The sequence below is a fragment of the Homo sapiens genome, chromosome 14 (genome assembly GCF_000001405.40).
Source record: "Homo sapiens chromosome 14, GRCh38.p14 Primary Assembly".
NCBI lineage: Eukaryota > Metazoa > Chordata > Mammalia > Primates > Hominidae > Homo > Homo sapiens.
Window position 1 is genome coordinate 45245255 of NC_000014.9, and position 8001 is coordinate 45253255.

Consider the following 8001-nt stretch of genomic DNA (forward strand, 5'->3'; position numbering starts at 1 on the left):
TGTCAACTCCCACCTTAAAGTACTTCATTCTCTTGGCTTTCACAGTATCACTCTCCTGGTTTTTCTTCTTCCTCACAATCTTCTCAGTGGCCTTTCTACTCTTTTCTTTTTTATTTCTTTTTTTTTTGAGATGGAGTTTTGCTCTTGTTGCCCAGGCTGGAGTGCAATGGCGTGATCTCAGCTCACCACAACCTCTGCCTCCCGGGTTCAAGCAATTCTCCTGCCTTAGCCTCCCGAGTAGCTGGGATTACAAGCATGCGCCATCAAGCCCAGCTAATTTTGTATTTTTAGTACAGATGGGGTTTCTCCACATTGGTCAGGCTGGTCTTGAACCCCCGACCTCAGGTGATCCACTTGCCTCGGCCTCTCAAAGTGACGGGATTATGGGCATGAGCCACCGTGCCCGGCCGGCCTTTCTACTCTTTATTCTACCTTCCAAATGCTGGAGTACCCCAGGACCCAGCTCTTGAATGTTTTCTCTTTCTACACTTACTCCTTGATGACCTCATCTAATCTCATTGCTTTTAAAATACCATTTAGGTGCTAATGATTCCCCAATGTACTTTTCTCACCTTGATCACTTCTCTAAATTCCAACTAGTTTTTTCCAACACCCTAATACCTAAACTTAGATTTTTAATAGAGGTTATCAAAATTAACATAACAAAATCTTAGTTAATGAGCCCGCACTCCATTCCTCCTTCCGTCTGTCCTAGAGTCCAGCCATTTACCATCTGCACATTTACTATCTGCACTACTAACACCTGAACCAAGCCAACACCGGCTGTCATCTGGCTTACTGCAGTAACTCTATTTCAGAACAGCCAGAGTGACATTTTAAAAACATTGTCATTGTACACAGTGGTTAACTAAAAAACAACAAAAAAACCCTCATAAGTCAGATCTTGTCATTCACATGCTCAAAACCCTCCGATGGCTTATTCTGCTCACAGTAAAGGCCAAAACTCTTACATTTACCTACAAGGCCCTTATATTATCTGACCCACTCTTATTTATCCCTTCCTTCTGAGCTCTATCTACTCACTCCATGACACACTAACTTCATAGCTAGTCCTTCAACATGTCAGGCATGCTATTTCAAGGCGTTTATAACAGCTGCCTAGATCATCCTTCCCCATTCCTCAAGATACATGTATCTGTCATCTCATTCAATTTTGTGGGCTCAAATTCCCAAATTCAAATTACTGAAGATTACTCTGACCATCGCACTGAAAATTACATCCCCCTCCAACTCTTCCCATCATCCTAATTCTGCTTTTTCCTCTTTCCACTTTTCCTCTTCTACTAAGCCATAAAAATTACTTATTTAATATGTTAATTATGTCTTCCCACCATGTGAATATGAGCTACACAAGGGCAAGGATTTTTGTCCATTTTGTTCACTGCTATATTCTGAGCACCTAAAACAGTGTCTGAAACATTAAACACTTAAGACATTACAGCTTTTTAGCTAACACATAAAACTAACCTCTTAGTGAACTGTCATCTGACTGGAATGATTTGTTGTTTTCCTTTTCTTCACATAGGTAGGTATGCTGCAATTTTTTTTTTTCAACTCTGTTAGGAGTGAAGGTTTCATTATTTCCACTTTTCTGTGGTTCCAACAAACTACTGTTTCTTGATGGCTGTTCTTGCTTGTCACGCAGTACTTTTTCTTTCATTCTTAGAAATATTTTTCCTGGTGATTCATAGTTTGCTTTATTTTTTAATCCATCCTTGTTGGGCTTTATAGCACTGATATCAAGAGAACTGTTAGAGGTAGTAGCCTCTGTTAGCATAGTTGATTGAAATATATTTTTATTGTTAAAAGTTGTCATTTTTAGGAACTGATTCTTTTTATGGTCATTCAATTTTAAGGAGGAGTTCTGATATTTCACCAAATCTTTTACAGGAGTAAGTGTGCCTGAAGGAATGCTGTCAAAAAAGATTGCATCCATGGGTAGATTTCTCCTTTGAGAAGATGCCTCTGGAGGTAAGTAAATTCTTGAATGTTTCAAAGGTGTTGCAATCATCTTGACAAGAAAGTAGCAACCAAGTTCTTCTAACAGAAAATTCACTTAAGCGCAATTTTCAGATAGAACTTCAGAAGGGATCCACAGAAACCTGTAGTTCAACGTAAAATCAGCCTTTATCATGCTTTGGTGCAGAAAATGTTTAAAGTTTATTTGCTTTCCACAACATTATACTAATTAAAATGTTTAACTGGTTCATAACAATACTAGATAATCACAAATCAGACTAAGATTTTATTTTTGTTAAAGTCTCCTTAACAAAAGAGCTGGGTGTGATGGTGTACACGCCTGTAGTCCTAGCTACTTGGGAGGCTGAGCAGGGAGGATCACTTGAGCCTGGGAGGTCAAGGCCACAGTGAGTCATGATTGTGCCACTGCATTCCAGCCTGGGTGACAGAGCAAGACCTTGTCTCAAAATAAAATAAAATAAAATAAAACAAAATAAAAGATATATGCATATGGCACTACATTAGGTTACAAAAGATAAAGTTCCACAAATATAATTTTTCCCTTTAGGCAGTTAAATTTTAAGGCAGCAACTACAAGATCTATTCTAATAAAAGCTAAAAAAATACTATTCAATTAGTTAATAATACCCAATCCTGATTTTTTATGCTCCAGAGCATTTACATTTTAAGGTCTTAGTTGAAAAATCCTCAAATAAATGGTAAATTGTTTTCATTCTGATTTTTTTTAATGTAGTGCTATTTAGAATTTTTAGCAGAAATACTGTACTTGAGTTTACGTAGTTTTAGTCTTGTTTCTTTCGTTTTTTTTTTTTTTTTTTCTTTTTTTGGAGACAGAGTTTCCCTCTTGTTGCCCAGGCTGGAGTGCAGTGGTGATCTCAGCTCACCACAACCTCCGCCTCCCAGGTTCAAGCAATTCTCCTGCCTCAGCCTCCCGAGTAGCTGGAATTGGAATTATGTATGCACCACCACACCCGGCTAATTTTGTATTTTTGCTAGAGACAGGGTTTCTCCATGTTGGTCAGGCTGGTCTCAAACTCCTGACCTCAGGTGATCTGCCTGTCTTGGCCTCCCAAAGTGCTGGGGTTACAGGTGTGAGCCACCGCGCCCGGCCACAACTTGTTTCTTATGTATAAATTTTATTATTCACACCTAGAAATTAAGGTTCTAGGTAAGGAACCATATAGTTGCATTAACTAATATTTGGTAAATAAATAAAACATTTCAATCCAAGGAGCCTGGAACTTACTAGTCTAGATTTACAGCATCTCTTATAGCTGAATTTATAACTATTCCAATTAGTTAACATCATATAAACATAAAAAAAAACTATCACAGAAAATTCTAACATAGCCAGACCAAAAAATATCAAGTATCTTTATCTACAGCAACTTCTGTGAGAAATAAGCAATTAATATACAAAGTATTATTTAATCCAATAATTTATGATAATAGAGAAAAAAAGAAGGAAAATATTCCTAAATTACAACAGCCAACAAAGAAGGCTATCTTGGGAGTCTGGAGTTCCTAAAAACCACTATAATTCTTTCATAACATACGAATCCTGCAAATACATATTAACGCATGCATGTATATGTTTATGATGTGCTAGTTCCAGGGGTTCTGTATTAGAAGTTATAATATTAGCCGTTCACTTCATTTCTGTTTTATTTTTGAGACAGTGTCTCTGTCACCCAGGCTGGAGTGCAGTGGTGTGATCAGGGCTCCCTGCAACCTCGAAATCCTGGGCTCAAGCAATCCTCCTACCTCAGCCTCCAGAGTAGCTGGGACCACAAGTGTGTGCCACTGCACCTCAGCTATGTTTTTTTTTTTTTACTTATTTGTTTGTTTGTTTCTGAGAGGGAGTCTTGCTCTGTTGCCCAGGCTGGAGTGCAGTGATGCGATCTTGACTCACTGCAATCTCCACCTCATGGGTTCAAGCAATTCTCCTGTCTTAGCTTCCCAAGTAGCTGGGATCACAGGCACATGCCACCCCACCCGGCTAATTTTTGTATTTTTAGTAGAGACGGGGTTTCACCATATTGGTCAGGCTGGTCTCCTGACCTCAGGTGATCCACTTGCCTCAGCCTCCCAAAGTGCTGGGATTACAGGCATGAGCCACCTGAGTTATGTTTTTTTACATTTTTTTGTAGAGACAGAGTTTCCCTATGTTGCCCAGGTTAGTCTCAAACTCCTGGGCTCAAGTGATCCTTCTGATTTGGCCTCCCACAAGTGTTGGGAATACAGGAGTGAGCCACCATGTCTGGCTTAGCTGTTCATTTCAAAGAAAGGCAATAAAGCTATACAATCTCTCAAAATCAAAAATGAATAAACTCGGCTGAGCACAGTGGCTCACGCCTATAATCCCAGCACTTTGGGAGGCCAAGGCAGGAGAATCACTTGAGGTCAGGGGTTCAAGACCAGCCTGGCCAACACGGTGAATCCCCGTCTTTACTAAAAATGTAAAAATTAGCCGGATGTGGTGGCACATGCCTGTAGTCCCAGCTACTCAGGAGGCTGAGGCAGGAGAATCACTTGAACCTGGGAGGCGGAGGTTGCAGTGAGCTGAGATCGCACCACCACTGCACTCCAGCCTAGGCGACGGAGTGAGACTCCAACTGAAAATAATAATAATAATAAAAATAAACTGGAAGACTGCAAAACAAAATGGCAAAGAATGTTCAGGTTTACACAATCTCAATTCCTCAGAGCCTAATGAAATGCTAAACAGAAAGTAAAAAATGCAAATAAGCGAGCAGCACTGAAAACAGAACCAACCTGTAATGGACATGCAGAACTGTCTTCATTTAAAGTCAGATAATTGTGGTCACGTTGAAAGGCTCCAAGAACCAAAACAGAGCTTTCTGTTTCCTAATGTCCCTGCCCCTAATTCAGGCAAGTAGTAGGATAAAGGTGATTAGCCAAGATTCTGAAAAAATCCTCAAATTCCACTTCCCCTCCCAAAGAAACAGAAAGTTGCTCTAGGAGACCTTTTTCCCACCATGTGATAAACAGCAACTCAATATAAGCCAAGAAAAAAATCGTCTACAATTTCCTCTGACCACAGAGGCTCTGCAGAATAGATAAACAAGAAAAACCACTGGGTCTAGATAATCCAGGACACATCTGAAGCTCCATTTCCTTCCTAGTCAAAACAGCTAAACAAAGAAATCAGCCTCTGATGAAACACAGACATTAGTGGAGATTTAGTAACTAGCAACCCGCAAGTGGAGGAAAGAACGCCTGTCCTGAAGCCAAGCACATTTGTTGACCTAACAGATGGAGGTCACTAACAAGAAATTGTTAGTTCCTCTCAGACTGGAGAAAGTATGTTTCCGTTTTCATTAACTGCTTAAAGTTGTTTGGAAAAATCTAATCCTTAAAACTTATTCTAAAAACTGACAAATGTTGATGTACTAGGGAAAAAAAATTGTTTTCAACATAAAGACATGGGAATGGGAAAACCATTGGATGAAAGGGCTGGCCAGGCCGCGTGCGGTGGCTCACGCCTGTAATCCCAGCACTTTGGGAGGCCAAGTGATCACGAGGCGAATGACGGCGAATCACGAGGTCAGGAGATGGAGACCATCCTGTCTAACACGGTGAAAACCGGTCTCTACTAAAAATACAAAAAATTAGCCGGGCGTGGTGACACGCGCCTGTATTCCCAGCTACTTGGGAGGCTGAGGCAGGAGAATGGAGTGAACCCGGGAGGCGGAGCTTGCAGTGAGCCGACATCGCGCCACTGCACTCCAGCATGGGCGAGACATCAAGACTCTGCCTCAAAAAAAAAAAAAAAAAAAAAGGGCTGGCCATAAGCATTTATAGTACAGTCATGCACTGCATAATGACATCAAACCACATACACAGTGGTCCCATAAGATTATTTTGGTGTACCTTTTTTTTAAACTTATTTTTACTGTACCTTTTCTATATTTTGGTATGTTTAGATACACAAATACTTATCATTGTGTTACAACTGCCAACAGTATTCAGTAAAGTAACATGCTGTACAGGTTTGAAGCCCAGAATAGGTTATAATATATAGCCTGGGTTTTTATAAGTACACTCTATGATATTGGCACAATGACAAAAATTACCTGAGAATGTATTTCTCAGAACGTATCCCAGTCAGTTACAAGTGACATATATAAATACAGAACTGAAGCTAAACAATTATGTATATGATCCTGAATGTAACTACTCCTCCTCCTCCTCCCAAAAAACATGGAAAGTTCTTGTAAGAATTTACTGTAGTGGTAGTAGTAATAACTATTACTATGGAATGGGTCAAAAATCCCAGAGCACACTAACCAAAACTGGGACATAGAATTAGGGGGAAAATAGAATTTTAAGTTAACAGGCAAATGATACACTTGAAAAAAATACTCAGCACATATGACAAAGGGCTAATTTAAATAACATTCAAAGAGACCTAATAAATCAACTTTAAAAAATATACAAAACAGAAAATGGTCATGGGACATGAAAGGTGATTAATAGAATACAAAAGGCCAATAAACGAGTTGTGACACCTGATTTTACTAATAAATGGAGATGCAAACTAAAACAGTGAGATTTCTTTTTCATATCACATTGGTAAATATTAATTTCAAAATGCAAGTATGCATACTATTGACACGGAAATTCCACTTCTAACTTGTTTTTTCCTATAGAAACATCTGCGTAAGAATGCAAATATATATGTACCATAATTGCCGATATTTACTGAATATTTACATGCCAGCCACTATATAATCTAACAGCAACTCTAAAGAGTTAAGTACTGTTATTACTCCCAATTTGAAAAAAGAGAAATTAAGGTATAAGGTGGTTAAGTAAGCTGCCCAAGGTCACTTGACAATAAGTGAGAAAGAGGAACCGATTCTACCCGACTCCATAGCTTCAGTTATTTACCAACAGGCAACAGTCTACACACCCACTACACAGGGAAGTTCACTGCAGCATAAAATGAAATGAAACAACCCAGATGTCTACCAATAAAGGACAAAATAAATCCCGCCACATCCATACAATTTACTCTATGTATTCAATAAAAAGATATATATGTACTTATATGGAAAAGTATCCAAGAAACATTAAATTGAAAAAGAAAGTAACAACATAGAATTGCATTTGTTTAAAAAAATTTTTAAGTAAATAAATAAAACACATACAGGCATAGAGAAAAACTCTGGAAGCGGTGAACCAAATTGTAAACAGTGTTTATCTTTGAAGGCCAGGATGAAGTGGCCTACCATTTTCTTGAACTCCTGAGCTCAAAAGATCCACCCGCCTCGGCCTCCCAAAGTGTGGGATCACAGGCGTGTGCCACCGCGCCCGACCATTTTCTAAATAATTTTATTAACATCTAAAGATGTTTGCAACAAGCATGCAATTTAACCAGAAGAAAACATAAGCTGAATGATCAACTGCTTCTATAGCCCTGTGGGTCCTGGGGTCCCAAGGGGAAGAGTTGGGTACTGAGGAATACAATTTTCCCACTTGGTATTCTAAAAAAAAAAAAAAAAAATTTATTTTAGAACAAAGACCTAGAACGCTCACCATCGAAATAAATTTGAGCAATCGTGTTCTACTCTCTTAAGTACAGTAGACACGCAACAAGTAAACATCGAGTGCGAAGTATAAAATCCGTACCAAAGCCAGAAATCTACAAAAAAAATAAATAAAACCGCGTGAGCCGAGATGCTTAAAGGGCAGACGCCCACCATCTGCGGGGACCCGCGGTAGGAGGTTAGCGGAGGGCGCGGGGAGGACGTACCTTGGATGAAGAGCCTGGCAGGGAGAGACTGCCGCAGTTCCGGCTCGGCTCCGCGCGGAGAGAGGGCCGCACGCCGCCGGGCTCGCGCCTCAGGCCCACGGTGTATCCTGCCCGCGGCGGCCAGGCGCCAAGCGACGCTTACCTCCTCCGCGACGTTCTCTAACACACAAAACACTTCCGCAATTCAAATTTGAAGAGCCCGCCCTCCAGCCAGCCCGGGA

General features: G+C 40.0%; 1 protein-coding gene across 7 annotated transcripts in view, besides 2 other annotated features; it reads right to left on the reverse strand.

Moving 5' to 3' along the window:
* Positions 1 to 7948, reverse strand: part of MIS18BP1 (MIS18 binding protein 1) — a 50013-nt gene extending 42065 nt beyond the window's left edge. For 3 of the 7 annotated variants that reach the window (NM_018353.5, XM_047431548.1, XM_047431547.1), the window contains exons 1-2: positions 7781 to 7948; positions 1489 to 2123 (exon numbers count right to left, since the gene is read on the reverse strand). In NM_018353.5, the coding sequence (NP_060823.3) occupies positions 1489 to 2032 (544 nt within the window). In that variant the 5' untranslated portion in view covers positions 2033 to 2123; positions 7781 to 7948. Of the gene's footprint in view, positions 1 to 1488; positions 2124 to 4776; positions 4885 to 7175; positions 7512 to 7563; positions 7670 to 7780 lie in introns of all 7 variants that reach the window. The other 4 variants (XM_047431545.1, XM_047431546.1, XM_017021425.2 and 1 more) reach the window with 4 other exon arrangements.
* Positions 5548 to 6047: an enhancer, noted in NCBI's record as "H3K4me1 hESC enhancer chr14:45720005-45720504 (GRCh37/hg19 assembly coordinates)". NCBI's record gives its function as "activates a minimal SCP1, AML or CMV promoter by ChIP-STARR-seq in naive H9 embryonic stem cells {active_cell/tissue: H9 hESC(naive)}" and the evidence as "EXISTENCE:reporter gene assay evidence [ECO:0000049][PMID:30033119]".
* Positions 7917 to 7976: an enhancer, noted in NCBI's record as "active region_8303". NCBI's record gives its function as "activates an Ori minimal core promoter by ATAC-STARR-seq in GM12878 lymphoblastoid cells {active_cell/tissue: GM12878}" and the evidence as "EXISTENCE:reporter gene assay evidence [ECO:0000049][PMID:35858748]".